Source organism: Homo sapiens, chromosome X, assembly GCF_000001405.40.
Source record: "Homo sapiens chromosome X, GRCh38.p14 Primary Assembly".
NCBI classification, from domain to species: Eukaryota; Metazoa; Chordata; class Mammalia; order Primates; family Hominidae; genus Homo; species Homo sapiens.
In genome coordinates, this window is record NC_000023.11 from 31,810,943 (window position 1) to 31,827,545 (window position 16,603).

At 39.0% G+C, this 16,603-nt stretch overlaps 1 protein-coding gene across 20 annotated transcripts in view; it reads right to left on the reverse strand.

Annotated features, from left to right (window-relative positions):
* Positions 1 to 16,603, reverse strand: part of DMD (dystrophin) — a 2,220,167-nt gene that overhangs the window by 691,721 nt on the left and 1,511,843 nt on the right. For all 20 annotated transcript variants that reach the window (XM_006724469.4, NM_000109.4, XM_011545467.2 and 17 more), the window contains 1 exon segment: positions 9,033 to 9,141. In XM_006724469.4, coding sequence (XP_006724532.1) covers positions 9,033 to 9,141 — 109 coding nt within the window.

Genomic DNA, 16,603 nt, shown 5'->3' on the forward strand with positions numbered 1-16,603 from the left:
AGTAAGTTTACTGTAATTAACATTTTATTTCTGTTAAAATGCAGGACATAGGTAATCAAAAAATCTCTAATCATCAGAATTGATGTTAGCCTTCTCTTTTTCCTAGAAATGATGAACTAGAGTTTCTCTTCCTTCATCAGTTCAGACCCCAAAGCACAACCCTAACTGGAAATGGTAACCATGCAATAAAACTACCAAAAGGTTAAGAGAGGGAGAAGAAAGGGAACTTCATCACAAAATGGATAATTAACATCTAAATGCTGAATACTAAATACTAAACAGTAGAAGTTTCACATTCTATCACTGTCTTGGATGTTAACAATGATGCCACTGTAGTGCCTTTCCTGTTAACCAGTGAGCATTGTTGAAGGACCTGGCCTGGGACCAGGGACCCCCTACTGCCTTCATGGAAAGACTTCCTTCTGATGAGTGTGAGAAGTGCTGGGGCCTCACCAGCCAGGGCTTTCTGTTGTCACTCCCCTTTCTACAGTGTGACACATCTCATTATATTTCAAGCACTCTTACCTCACTGATACATACAAATATGAATTTTTAAATTAATTAATTAATGTCAAGAGTTAAGGAGTCTCTCCAGCTGCTCCAAGGCCTTGCAGTATCTTGGGATAGGGTTTAAAATGGATTTATTTTGTTATTGGAACTGATTAAGGGTCTTCACATTTTTTGTACAAAAGCTTGCTCCTGACGTATTAGACTTTGAGGAAGTTTTCAAGGTTTAGAGCCTGTAACTATAAAACCGGCAATAGTATAGCCATGTCGTAAGTGTTTTTAGCAGAGAAATCATCTGTTAATGAGGAAGAAAAAGATTTGGCCTCACGGAAATTTATTTGCCTAATCCTAAAGGTTCACCTGAAGCAGAATCAACAGTGGAAACATAACCACAACAGGAAAGGGTGTGGGTTATATACCCCTCCCCTGCCATGTTTCTATTAATGAGAAGGATCAGGACCCAAGAGAGGAATAAGAATGCAAGAACTAATTGCCATCCTCTTTTTCCTTTGCTGCAGATAAACGAAGGCCATTTTCACAAAAAAAATGATCACTGCAGATAAATGTAGGGTATTGTCACAATAAATTAACCATTTTTTTTTTTTGCAATTTAAGCCAACAAAAGTAGTATGACAAGAGTACATTTAAGTGCCAAGTAACCTCATGCTTTAACTGCCTAGATATTTAAAGTATTATTGAAATGGAAATGGAATGCTTTATTTAACTTTGTAGAGGTGAGTGAAGTTCAAATTAAAATGTATAAATCACCATGGAATACTATGCAGCCATAAAAAATGATGAGTTCATGTCCTTTGTAGGGATATGGATGAAGCTGTAAACCATCATTCTCAGCAAACTATCGCAAGGACAAAAAACCAAACACCGCATATTCTCACTCACAGGTGGGAATTGAACAATGAGAACACATGGTCACAGGAAGGGGAACATCACACACTGGGGCCTGCTGTGGGGTGGGGGGAGGGGGGAGGGATAGCATTAGGAGATATACCTAATGTTCAATGACGAGTTAATGGGTGCAGCACACCAACATGGCACATGTATATATATGTAACAGACCTGCACATTGTGCACATGTACCCTAAAACTTAAAGTATAATAAAAAAAAGTTAAGCAAAAATAAATAAATAAATAAAACAAATAAAAAGGTATAAATAACCTTATATGTGAGGATTTGATATTCAATTTAAATAGAGACTTCAAAAAATTCAAATGAAGATAACTAAATCACTGCTTGATACATGGTGCACTGATTAATAGCATAAGCTCTGGAATCATAGAGACTTATTTTTGAATACCCACTCTGTCACTGACTAGCTCTGTAACCTTGGACAAATTATTTAACCTTTCTGACCCTTGGTTATCTCATCTATAAAATGGGAATTGCAACATAACTTACTCAAAAGGTATAACTGTGGCACTAATTCTAAGACTTGTATTAATTTAGGTTTGCTCAGAAGTAGACCCTGAGACAAGGATTTAAATACAAATAATTCAATTGGGAGCTGATCCCAGAAAGCCATGGTAGAAGAGAAGATAGAGCTGCAGAGCTGAAGATACATATATATCTGTCAGTTGTATCTCAGCAGGGAACAAAGTTGAGATATATGAGAATACTGAAGAGGACTGAAATCAAACTCAGGAGATGTGGGGTTGGGTCCAGATTCTGCCAAAATGGGAAGAAAGCCTACACATCGGAAGGAAGCCTATACGAGGCATGCTAATAAGTATGCTTATCATTGTGGTCAACTGCCCAATTCACTGGAGATTTTTAGTGTGGAACATGCATTGGAGGTGTCCTACCCAAGGGGAGAAGAAGGTGGGATATTTATTGATATGGTTTGGCTGTGTTCTCACCCAAATCTCATCTTGAATTGTAACTCCAATAATCCCCACGTGTTGTGGGAGGGACCATGTGGGAGGTAACTGAATCATGGGGGTGGGGTTTTCCTGTGCTGTTCTCCTGATAGTGAATAAGTCTCATGAGATCTGATGGTTTTATAAAGAGCAGTTTCCCTGCACATGCTCTCTTGCCTGCTGTCATGTAAGAAGTGCCTCTGCTCTTCCTTCGCCTTCTGCCATGATTGTGAGGCCTCTCCAGCCATGTGGAACTGTGAGTCCATTAAACTTCTTTTTCCTGTATAAATTATCCAGTCTCGGGTATTTCTTCATAGCAGTATGAAAACTATGAAGACCAACACCTTTATCCCCCAGCTTTTGTCCATTGGTTAAGTGCTATTCCAGAGATAATCTCCTCCCCAGCTTCCAGCCTGCTCTGCAAGTGGGAGAGCTACTCCTACAGGCAGAGAAAGGACTCAGGAAGACTCACAGGTACTTGTAGTTAGACGCTTCATGGTTTATAGGAAGGCTGAGTGCTAAGGGGAAATGGGTAGCCCACTAAGGGTCAAATCTATCTTACCTGCCTCGTTTCTGTAAATAAAGTGTCACTGGAGCACAGCCATGTCCCTTTATTTAGGTATTGTCTGTGGCTTTTAGTATACAATGACAGAGTTGACCACATGACCCATAAAGCAGAAAATATCTAGTATCGGTCCTTTGCAGAAACAGTCTGTTGATCCCTTATATAGTTGGTAGCACAACTGAGATATCAGAATTTAGGCTTCTTGACCTCCAATACTGTGCTTTCCTAATTACACTTGAGACTTGCTCTCTCCAAACTTAATTACAGGAAGAGATGATTTTACCAGTGTTTAATCAACTAGAAAACTCTGGGCCGGGCGCGGTGGCTCACGCCTGTAATCCCAGCACTTTGGAAGGCCGAGGCGGGCGGATCACGAGGTCAGGAGATCGAGACCATCCTGGCTAACACAGTGAAACCCCGTCTCTACTAAAAAACACAAAAAAATTAGCCGGGCGTGGTGGCGGGCGCCTGTAGTCCCAGCTACGGGGGAGGCTGAGGCAGGAGAATGGCGTGAACCCGGGAGGCGGAGCTTGCAGTGAGCCGAGATCGCGCCACTGCACTCCAGCCTGGGCGACAGAGTGAGACTCCGTCTCAAAAAAAAAAAAAAAAAAAAAAAAAAAAAAAAAGAAAACTCTGTTAACTGGCTCTTCTATATGTCCATATACAATGGGTTATTCATTCCATAGTTATTACCAAGAGACATTTGAATCAAATATCCTGATTTGGAGTCTTCACATTAAGCATGTCTATATGCAATTTCTTTCAAAAATGCTAAATCGGGTATTGTAGAACATTAATGTTCTCAGGCCCAGCAGCTTGTGGATAAGAAAGGATTCACATTGACATTTACAACCAGATTTGCTGGCTCTTTGCCTCCATCTGCCATGCAAGCCTTCAGACCCATGCAAAGTCCTGTCTACCTAAATGATTGTGAAAGTCTCTAGAGGAACTTATGGCTTTTCTTCTCAGAGGTCTCATCCAGGAACACTGAACAGCTCTGCAGGGCAAATACTGCCTGGTTTAGTGTGTTGTCCATCTCCTTGAACTTCTAAGCTATAACATCCTCGGGGTGGGGAGATGGGGAGTAGAGGTGCTAAAATAAGATGGATTTCCCTTTAGCATTCACAGCACTGGATCTCATTGGAATCCCACTCCTTGCTGCACACAGCAGAAGGGATGAATTTATTCTTCCCCACTCACTGTATGTCTGTGGTAGTAGTTCTCAAAGCATAGGCCAGCATCAGCATAACCTAGGAACTTTTCAGAGATGCAAGTCTTGGCTGGGCACAGTGGCTCACGCCTGTAATCCCAGCACTATGGGAGGCTGAGGCAGGTGGATCACCTGAGGTCAGGAGTTCGAGACCAGCCTGACCAACATGGTGAAACCCTGTCTCTACTAAAAATACAAAAATTAGCCAGGCGTGGTGGCGGGTGCCTATAATCCTAGCTACTCAGGAGGCTGAGGCAGGAGAACCGCTTCAACCCAGGAGGCAGAGGTTGCTGTGAGCCGAGATTGCACCACTGCACTCCAGCCTGGGTGACAGAGCAAGACTCAGTCTCAAAAAAAAAGAGAGAGAGAGAGATGCAGGTCTCACCCCAGAGCTAGTAAATCAGAAACTCTGGGGTTGAAGCCCAGTAATCTATACTTTGCGAAGAACTGGGTGGTTCTAACGCATGGTAATTTTTGAGAATTAAGTTGGATTAAGACCAACACTTTTGATCTCCAGTTTCCCTCCTTTTCCCCAATGTAGTGATTTGTGTATAAATACGGTGACAATAAAACCTTCTATCCCCAATATGCATACCCCTTTGATATGCGATGTGGCATCTCCTCCTTTCACGAGATGAAGTAATTTCCTCATCTCTTGAATCTGGGCTGATCTTTTGAGGTGCTTTGACCAATATAACTTAGCAGAAGTAACCTACACGTTTCAAAGCCTAGGCATCAGAAGGTCTTGTAGCTTCCACCCGCCCTCTCTTGGAAAACTGCCCTGAGAATACCATGTAATGAAGCCTAATCTAGCCTACAGGATGATGAGTGGCCTTATGAAGAATCAAGGTTCTGCAACCAACAGCCAGCTGTCAGATATCTGAGAGAGTGCATTTTAGACCATCTAGCTCCTGTTCACTTGCTAGATAACTGCATCCACATAAGTAACACCAAGCAAGACCATCAGAATAACTATCCAGCTAATCACAGAGCAAACTTCAGACACACAGAATTATGAGCAATAAATCACTCGTTTTGAACTGTTAAGTTTTGGGGTGCTTCTATGCAACAATAGAAACTGATATGGACAGGTGTCTAAGCAACAACAATTGCAAGTTTTGCTTTTTTTTTCCAGTATGTTGATTTGTCCTGATAATTAAAACAATTTATACAGCTCAGGCAAGGCCACCCCATTATAATTTATAATTTAAGTAAGCAGCCACAAGGTAGTTTGGTTTAGTGTTCATAAAACAAAACAAGCAACTTTAGGCCTCAGCTTCTACATCTATAAAAGAAGAATACTCAACTAGATAATAATTGCAATAATTATTCCAAGTTTGGATTTCTATGGTTCTAAGAAATTCAAATAGAGTGAACCAATTTTTTCTACTTCTTAAGTAGAAAAAACACAGAAACAGGCCAGTCAAGGTGGCTCATGCCTGTAATCCCAGCACTTTGAGAGGCTGAGGCAGGCGGATCACTTGAGGTCAGGAGTTTAAGACCAGCCTGATCAACATGGAGCAACCCCGTCTTTACTAAAACTACAAAAATTAGCTGGGCATGGTGGTGCGCACCTGTATCCCAGCTACTTGGGAGGCTGAGGCAGGAGAATCGCTTGAACCTGAAAGGCAGAGGTTGTAGTAAACCGAGATCGCACCACTGCACTCCAGCCTGGGCAACAGAGCAAGATTCTGTCACACACACACACACACACACACACACAAAGAAAAAAGAAAGAAAGAAAAGAAAAAACACGGAAACTTGTATCACTTTTACTCCAGATAAATTTAAGATTGAGTTAAATTATATTAACTGCTGGCCAGCTGCATCTGTATCTGTAATTTTCCATTAGGTTCTTGGACAGAGAGATAGTGTAAAGCACAGCCACAAAACAAAACACAGGCTGTGGAGCTTGACATGTGGACTGAAACCCTTGCTTGCTTGCTTTCTAGCTGTGTGGCCTTAATCTAGCTATCTCCCCTCTAAACCTCAGGCTCCTTAATCTTTAAAAATTATCTATATGTTCTTTGCAGTTATTTTGAGGATAAAGACATATATGTTAAAGCTACAAGTATATGTGTAGCTTCTACATATTTAATAGTAGGAATGCAATGGAAACAATCTGCTATAATGAATTATAAATTCTATTACATTGTAATACAGTACATGAAATAATAAACATATACAAGAAGCATAATACAAATTAGATTTTCTTTTTTTATATTGCATTTATTTCTGATTAACTTCCTGCAAGTCAGGAAGTCGGGAATAGAAACAATTCTTTATTCTGATATTTGAACTACCACAGTAAAGAAAAAAGAAAATCTTATTTTAATAAAAGCAGCTCTGAATTTAAATGACTACCTTTTGTTTTTTTTTTCATTCAACATTTGTGTATTTAACATCTTGACTTAATGCTCAGATCTGTTTCGGTTTGCTAAAGAGGATGAAAAGCACCTGCTTTTGAGAAAATTCCTCTTTCCCTTAATTCTTTTTTAGCTACTACCACAACTCTGCCAGCTATCACCAAACAGCTTTGAGCTGAGGGCATTCCCAGACTCTCCATACTGGCAGCAATGTGGAGGACATAGGAGAAGACAAGAGTGGTGGGGGGTGATGAGACCCTCATGTTGGGGAGAAGGAAGTAGGGCAGTGCTATGAAAGATGAGTATCTCTCATGGCTTCCATCACACTTCCCCTGACCCACTCCTCTAGTCTCACTGATCTCCTTAATATTCCGTCATCTTGTTCCTACTTCAGTATCGTTGCTCAGTCTTTTCTCTCCCTGCCTGGAATAATTTTCCCAGAAATACACCAGGCTCACTTCCTCACTTACATCAGTTTTCTGATGTTCTCTTAACAGACAAGCTTCCCTGACCACACTATAGACAATAATACCCTCATCCCATCTCCCTGCTTAGTTGTTCTCTGTAATGGTGTTTCTCAAATGTCAGTGTGCACAGGATTCACCTGGGGATTCTATTAAAATGCAGATTGTGATTCAGTGGGTCTAGGATAGGGGCCTCAGATTCTGTGTGTCTAACAAATACCCATTGACATCAATCTGTAGACTACACTCTACAGCACTTATAATTATTGAGACAGTATATATTTTCTTCATTAGTTTATTGTCTTTCTCTTTCAATTACAATATATGTTTTATGAAAGGAGAGACTTTTATTCTATGCTGTACTCGCAGCACCAGTATGATGCTCAACACATGGAAGTTAATAAATAAAGTGGATGAATTATATATGTTGCTGGAAGTCAAAACTGGAACTTCCAATGTATTTTTCTTATAAACATTGTTACATTTAGGTAAGTTACACGTTAAATGGATTTCGGCGCCCTGGTTTTGGAGCCTTCCTACCATGTGTAACGTGGCTTATATGGGACATAAACTCATGAGTTCAGAGTTTAACAAACTTATAAAACATCATTGGAACATAATCTCTTCATGGAGTTACAGAGTCTGAGGCTGAACCTACCAGAGACAGCCAGAAAACAGACACCAATAAATGATAACATAGGAACAAACTATGCATATGCGCTGAGGGAACCAAAAATTACAGCTCATAAAAACAAATAAACCTGACACAGTTGAGTATAACCCTGATACAGCAATTTCAGTGTCCCAGATTGACAAAAAAAAAAAACCATAATGCTTAAGTCTCCAAAGTCGTTAAATCTAACTCTGATGACTGCCGAGTAATCCCAGAGGGCACATGAGATGCACTGTCCCCAGATTGTAGGGCTTCTTTTAATCCAAGCACTATTTATGCCTTCTAATGAATTATGATTGTGCTACCCCAGCTGTGATTCTTCCAGTTCAGTATTTTTCTACTTGACATAAAATAAAAATCAACTTTACCTGAAGAACCAGTCACCATGCTTTAATGCTTCAATCATTTGATCTTTGAAAAGCAGACAAGGCAAAAAAAAAAACAAAAACAAAAAACAACACCCAAAGATGTTTTTAGTTCTGCCTAATTATGGAATGGTACAGCAAAGAAGTTTTCTGGCCTCTTTCCCCTGAGAGTCAAAGCCAGCATTAACATTGCCATGAGAATTTATGAATACCTTCTATCAACAACTGAAGAGGAAAGAAAATAAAATAGACTGAAAATATGCAGTGAAAACAAAAGTTAAAACTACAGCTAAATGAGGAAATATTCCTCCCCCAAGTCAGCTTGTGGTCCTCCCAATCCATTTTTCTTTTTCTTGAACTAAAAATGGGAGAGCTCTTAAATTGTTTGCAAATGGGACAGGGAGAGGTGCTAGTAGGACTGTGTGTGTTTCTGTGGTTTCTGTGATTTTTGTAGACATACTTGTCCCTCTTCAGGAACAATGCACACATCCCTGGATGCTAGGAATATTGGTTGTTAATGGTGTTCCTTACTAAGAATTGCCTTCGGCCTCAGAAAACTTGTCCAAGTTGTCCTTCCACTCTCAGGCAGCAGCCAGCCCCTGGCCAATGGCTGGCTGGATCAGGAATACAAGGGCCAGGCCCACTGCCTGCAATTCAGGACAGCTCTGCACAGCCAGCCCAGATGTAGGGCTCCTGCGAGACTGGCTTAGGCCTCTGCTGCAGACAAATCACATTTCAGACTCTCCCACAATCTCCCTTGTGCTCTTCTCTTCCTTGTGGGTGTATCTCCAGAGAACACTCCCCATATCCCGTTGTCATGCAACACTTTGAATCAGAGTCAATTTCCAAGGAATGTACTCTAAGACTTTTTGCACAGTCAATAACACAAAGGTTTATCTCTATCTTTAGAATTGAAACAAATTTTCTCTCTCACCCAGTCATCACTTCATAGTTGCACTTTTGAACAAATAGCTAGAGCCAAAGAGAATGGGATCCAGTATACTTACAGGCTCCAATAGTGGTCAGTCCAGGAGCTAGGTCAGGCTGCTTTGCCCTCAGCTCTTGAAGTAAACGGTTTACCGCCTTCCACTCAGAGCTCAGATCTTCTAACTTCCTCTTTAACAGAAAAGCATACACATTACTTATTCGATTAACACTTTGAAGATAATTCATGAACATCTTAATCCATTTGGTGAATATATTATTGGATTTCTATTATATTTTACTTCTAAATTAACTTTAGTGGGTAGAATTTCTTTTAAAGGAATTATAATTATTTTAGCCAACCACCCTACAAATATTTATCAATTGCTCCATACAAAAACCCTTTCTCCAGGCATAATTTTATTTAAAGGAAGTAGAGTGCAAACATTAGTGAAAACAAACCAACAAAAAACAGTTCCCTCTCAGCAACTAGCTTAATTCTTGAAGAGTATCTATTGTGGTTGCATACTAAAATTATCCAGATAACTTTAGGAAAATCCTAATGTACTGGCTCACCCCCAGTCAATTATATCAGAGTCTCTTAAAGGGAGGGGCTGCAGTGGACACGGGAATATGCTACTCAGAGCCCCCTTCAAAGAAAGACTCTTGTTCTAGATGATGGAAATGATGTCAGTAGACATTCTTCAACTGTCAGTCCCTTCAGGGACTGCCTGAGCTGCAGAGAGCTGCCTTGTCCAAGTTCATGCCTTTCCCCAGGCAGCCCTCATTCAGTGACTGATGAAGGTGAAAGTATAGAGGCCTAATTTGGCTCAAAGCAGGACAAGTTTGAAGGGCTACTTCAGCTGCAGAGCTCCCCGTGGCATAAGGCAAGCCTGTATATGGCCAGTGGTGTGCTGGTAGATGTATATCAACTGGATCTCTGATCTCAGGGTGTTTAAAAACACCTTGTTTTTAGTGTTTGCCAATTTCTGTGGTGTAAATATTCCTACCACGGTTAAATTTAAATTACCAAGAAGATAACATCAAGTGGCTCAAAAAATGCCTGGCAATATAACAGTAGGCCGTCCTGAGCTGGTTCCACTTCACTGGGCAGCTAGCTATACGATAATTTATAGCCAGCAGAATGTGAGCAGAAGTGTTGTTTGTCAGTTTGGGGCTGAGGCTTTGAAAAATTTAGTGAGGTTTCCACATTTTTTTTCCTTTCTATTGCTGGAAGCAGAAGACTCTTAGGTCCTACGGCAAATCTTTACAACTTACTGAGGAGAGAATTAAGTCCTAACGCCCTAGGGCAGTTGTTCTCATACTTTAGGATCAACAGAATCACCTGGAGACCTTGCTAATTGCTGCATGGTAGCCCCGGAGTTCTGGATTTAGTAGATACTGGGTGGAGCCCAATAATTTGCATTTTTAACAATTTTCCAGGTGGTGTTGATGCTGATTGTTCATGACAAAATCCTAAGATATCTATTACACCTAATCAGTTACCTGAGCATTTATCATAGACTAGATATGTACCATTCTTGAGAACATAATAGACCCTCAGATCATTTTCAATAGGATTTCATCCTCTTGCGAAACCCGAGCAGAGAAAAGCTACCAAGGGAATGGCAGGCAGAGGAAGAAGATGAACAGGACCTAGGTTTCTGCAATAACATATGTAAGAAAGCTGCTTGACTAGGAAAACATACGCTGGGTTGTCATGTGAGCAAGAAAAGAACTCCTATTGTGTTAAGCCACTGAAATATTTAGTTCATTACAAGCAGCAATACCTTACCAGTATAGTAGCACTAGTCACAAAAGCTTTACCAGTGCCTATAAGAGATAATAGCTGCGTTTTTGTATCACTGTAAATTCCTATGCTTACCTTATGAGGAATACAAATAACTTGATTGATGTCGGGTTTGGTTAAAATAAATACATTAGCAGAAATTGCATTTCTAGTCTGAAGAATCAGAGTTGGAAAAGAGCCAGAAACTACAAACTCTTTAAATAGGAATGGAATGAACCCAACCTAACTGGAATGTTTCATATACACGTTGTAGTTTAATGCTAATCATTAATTTAATGCGAATCATTTCAATGAAACCATTACTTTATTTATTCCAGAAAAATAATTGTTCAGGTGCTACTCTGTGCCAGACTTTGTGCCAGTTACTAAGCTTACAAAACTGAAGTTCGTAACCTCTAAGCATTCACAGACATGTAAGTAAATTAGAACAGAGATTTTAGGAAAAAATAATGATTTCAACAAGACACCTCGGGGGAACAGCTTAACTCAGCCTGGAGAGGTCAATAGGTTACCCACAAAAGCTAACATTTGAATTTATTTTGAAAGACGACTAGGAAGTTTTCAGAAGGGGCCATTCAAGCGCCAGGTGGAAAAAGGGCATTTCAGACAGAAGGAAAACTACGTGCAAAATGGCAAGAGGTATCGAGCCTTAAAAAAGAAATGCAGTGTGTCCTGGCTATCTAGACTACAGTGTTTACAAGTAATGATACAGAGCTGCAAGAATGCAATTTATTAAGACCTTGTAATGTGGGACTATTACATTCTCTTCTAAAACCACAGAGTAGATGGAAGTGTTTAGAGAAGAAGAGCCATATGATACGATTCGTGTTTTGCATTGTGGAGGCTTTATCAGAAGGGTGCAGAGATACAAGTTGGGAGGCTAACATGGTAACTGGAGTGGGAAGTGGTCAGCTGGACTGAAGGCTTTGGCCATACAGAAAAAGGCAGAGGGGTGTGTGTGTGTGTGTGTGTGTGTGTGTGTGTGTGTGTGTGTGTGTGTATTTTTCTTGCCTTTGATAGTTGAGATTTTGAGCTGGTAAACGACGAAGAGAAACTTGCCATCAAATTGTTTCTTCCAGTTGTGGGATATGATGAGGTTTCTCTTCAAATAATCTGATCAATCTTTTATTCTTTAATTCATAGTACCCCCTGATTTTTCTCCTTTTTCCTTTTTACCTTTGTTAGATGCCCAGGCACACCTCAGTACCAGCTCACATTCATTTCCTTATTTGGAAAGAGGACTAACTTTCTAGCTCATTACAGACGCCCCTTCCCCTTCCTCTCCACTTGATTTTACGTGCCCACCCTATCTAAAAAAATCAAATGTTTAGCCAACTGGGATTAGTTTAGATTGTACGACCCAACCCCAGCCAATGGGGGGAAAGGGTACAGGGGCAGGACTTGCGTCAGGAATAAAGGCTCTCATGCCCCTTTGTTCAGGTGTGCTCTCATGGCAACTGGCCAAGGAGGCACCCCTCTGTGCAGAAGTAAAATTGCTTTGCTAAGAATCCTTTGTTCGAGTGTTCAATGTCCTCAGGATTTTGAGCATTATTCCTAACACAGTCTACCCTGTCAGCATGTGTCTTTCCAGTCAGACTATGTGCCCTTCGCAAGGCAGGACTGAGTCCTCTATGCCTTGTACGATGTTTTCTTTATATCCAGTCTAGTGCTTCCTAATAAGAGGAGTTCAGTAAATATTTCTGAATTGAATAAAATTAAATGAAAATTGCTACTTGAATAAAGGAAAAGAGAAAGAGATAAATAAGTTTCTTTTCCCCCAACTTGACTTCAATGTGAACTACATACCATGGATGACTTTATATATATATGGGACTTGAAGGAGCCTATGTAGGTTTTCCAGGCGTGCAATCATTTTATTAGGCTTATTTTTTCTTTTGAGACAGGGTCTCACTCTGTCACCCAGGCGGGAGAGCAGTGGCAAGATCTCGGCTCACTGCAGCCTCGACTTCCTAGGCAATCCTCCCACCTCAGCCTCCTGAGTAGCTACTCAGTACTACTACTGAGTAGTACTACTGAGTACATACATTTTTATGTAGAGACGGGGTTTTGCCATGTTGCCCAGGCTGGTCTCAAACTCCTGGACTCCAGTGATCTGCCCATCCCAGCCTCCCAAAGCGCTGGAATTACAGGTGTGAGCCACCACACCCAGCCTTATTAGGCTTTTATAAATCCTGAACCAAACTGTATTTAAAAAGTAATCTCATAGACTAGGGTCACAAATTCAGGTCCCTATAGGGACTAGGTTGTAACAAAGGGAAGAATAAGCCTTGTCTAAATCAGAGAGCTATAACTTCAGATGTGGCTGCTGACTGCCAACAGAAAGGTGGGCATAAGTTAAAAAGCAAAACACAGAAAAACAAACAAAAAACCCTGCTGATCATATTCCCTCACCAGTGTATACCGGAGAAGTTTCTCTCACATTCTTAAGGTCATAAGGAAGTACAAGAAAGTTTGTTGCTGCATTGTGGGGAATTGAGGCCAACATGGGTATGTATGTGAAAGAAATGGATAAGGGTATATGTAGAGCAATGTGGATGGATTTTTTTCTTTTTTTTTTTTAGATGGAGTTTCACTGTTGTTGCCCTGGCTGGAATGCAGTGGTGAGATCTTGGCTCACTGCAACCTTTGCCTCCTGGGTTCAAGTGATTCTCCTGCCTCAGCCTCCCGGTAGCTGGGATTACAGGCTCGCACCACCACACCCGGGTAATTTTTGTATTTTGTATTTCACCATGTTGGCCAGGCTGCCTTGAACTCCTGACCTCAGATGATCTGCCCATCTTGGCCTCCCAATGTGCTGGGATTGCAGGCATGAGCCACTGCGCCCGGCCATGGGTGGATCTTTAAAACACAATTATGAATGTTAGAAAAGCTAAGAAACAAGATTTATAGCACAATGTAGCTTTTATAAATTTAAAATATACTTATAAATAATATATTTTAAAAGGATAAAGCAGGAAAGAAACAGGAATAGAGATATTATTGTCACATTTCAGTAATTTTGCTAATCGGTTATTAAACATAACCATTAATATAAATTAAATTTTATAAATATAAAATAAACTGTGCTAAGAACAAAAGATAATATATAGTAAGAATTCATCACTTCCTAATTTAACTATCATCAGTGCTCTTGAGACTATGTCTATTGTGTCTGACATCAAGTCAAATCAAGGCTTTCAATGTTTTTATCCAGAATGCATGATGTAAATATTTACTAGCATATCAATAAATGTAACTTTTTTATTTATTAAAAATCAGTCTTGAACCCAAAAGCAAACAAAAAATAATGCCTCTGATTAGTCAGGAAAACCACCCTTGGAAGTCATCACTCACGGAAGATATTTTCCTGTCCTGACATCAGAACCTAAACACTAAAAATTAAATATTCTAAGAGACTAGTGAGTAATATATTTGATCTTCTGGTTTCCCTGTGAAGTTTCTGTAACCCTACAAAGACAGAATACTAAAAGCAATGAGAAGTAATCATTCTGATAACAGAAAGTAGCAATAGGAGACAATGAACATGAAAAACTTAAAACTGAGAAATGTGGTAATCTTAGTCATTTATCAATGAAATGACCTTTCAACATGGGATGAAATCTCATCCTACACCATTTAATTTATAGGAAATCACCTATATGTGCTGAGATAGAGAGAAAAGGAGAGATAGTGATAGATTAGGGATTGATTTAAATACTGCTGGGGGTATGCCCATCTTTCCACTCAGTAAGCATATTGCCCCTCAGAATGAGGATAAAGAGAGATCAAAGTTTGCTGTTTCTATGTTTCTACCAGTTGACTTAGGTTCCACTCTCTTCTCATGGTGTAAGTATCTCAGTGATTTGAGTTAGCTTTAATACTTAAAGGTATGTATTTATCTTACAGTCTAGCTTCTAAAAGCAAATTAACCACTTCAACTGGGTCTCAACTGAAGAAAGGGTGCTTTGAATTTCATGTTCCTCATATAACACTGTATCACTAAACAGAGCAAAAATTGATGTGATAACGACACCCCTGAAAATTAAGAAAAGTTAATTTACATTGTGATTTAGAATCAGAAGTCTTAGGTTTCGTTCCTAATTCACTACTACTGGTTGTGTGATCCTTGGAAAATGAGATGGGTCACTAAGATTTATCATCCTTGAAACATGGATATAATAATACCACCTAACTCATAGCTTTGTTGGAGAAACTAAACGAGATATTTTATATGGTAAAAATGCTGTGAACTACAAAGCACTATAAATTTGTTGGTTAGATATTATGCGCTGCTCAATGAAGCAAAACAGAAGATATTCAAGAAAAGTTCTCATTAAAATAGTTACGATAAAATTTTTTTCAGTGCTTTATTAAAGGACTAGGTTTTAGTTACCTAGAAAATAACATGTTTGTACATGCAATTTCTCTTTTATTAATACATAAACTCTAAATAGTCTGTCCATTTACTCTAATATTATCTTTCCCACTCTTATTTCCAGATAGGTAAATGAGGGGTTACTATAATCTCTAATGTAGAGGTGGATTTTTAAAATTAAATGGCACTACCAATGTATCACAAATGTCTGAGGACACTGCAATGGGTCAAAGGTTCAATAAGCTCAGAACTGTATAATTTCCAATCTTTTATAATTATTAGCAAATACTTATGAAATGACTACAGTTTTTGATTTGGCTGTTCACAAAAACAATCTTGCTACTTTTTCAAGAGTTTGGTGTACTGTAGAGTTGAAATGGATTATTTATATATTATACAAGTTCTTTTTTGTTTTGCTTCATTTTGCTTTTCACTTCTCTGGCATTTGCCCATATTTTCAATTCTCTCATCATTCCAATTAAGCTGTAAAATTCATTTGCATAACAAAAAATGTTTGGCTGTAGCAACTAGTCAGGTGTTCATCATATAATAAAATTTAAGCAGTGCTCAATAGAAATCTGTAAAAGGTAACAATTTGCAATACATGTTAATCATCTATAAGCAAATTTAAGGAAATCAAATAAGTACTTAAATCCCAACTTATTTAAATAGCGTATCAGTGGGATAATAGTTATCAAGTCCTATTCTTGACTACATCTCCATAATTTTAAAACTTTGAATATGCTAACTAAATTGCAGGTCCAAGGTTTTCCGCACAAGAGCTCCAAACTCAACAGAGTGAATTCGTGTTCTACCAAAATGGATAAACTTTGGGAATTCTTTTGTTTGTAAATGGAAAAATCAGATTTATTATAGGTGACTTTTGCAGCTGAGCATTATTCTCCATTGTATATACTTTGCTTGAAAATATTCATTAAATGTTAAGACAACTATATCAAACTATGAAATTTCTGCTTTATGAAGAACAGGAATTAGTTACAAGAAAAAGTGATTTCTGAATATAGCTTTCCTTTTAAAATTTAAAATGGATAAATATTTAAGGTGATAGATACTGCAATCACTCTGATTTGATCATTATATATTATATGCTTGTATCAAAATATCACTTGTGGTAAAAGGACGGAAAAAGATACTCCATGCAAATGGGAACCAAAAGCAAGCAGGAGTAGCTATTCTTATATCAGACAAAATGGGCTTTAAAGCAATAACCGTAAATAAAAGATAAAGAAAGACATTGTATAATGATAAAAGGATTAGTCCAACAAGAAGATATTTACTACAGTACTCAATTTATATGCACCTAACACTGGTGCTCCTAGCTTTATAAAACAATAGTACTAGACCTAAGAAATGAGATAGACAGCAATGCAATAATAGTGGGGGACTTCAATACTCCATTTACAGCACTAGACAGGTCACTGAAACAAAAACTTAACAAAGAAACAATG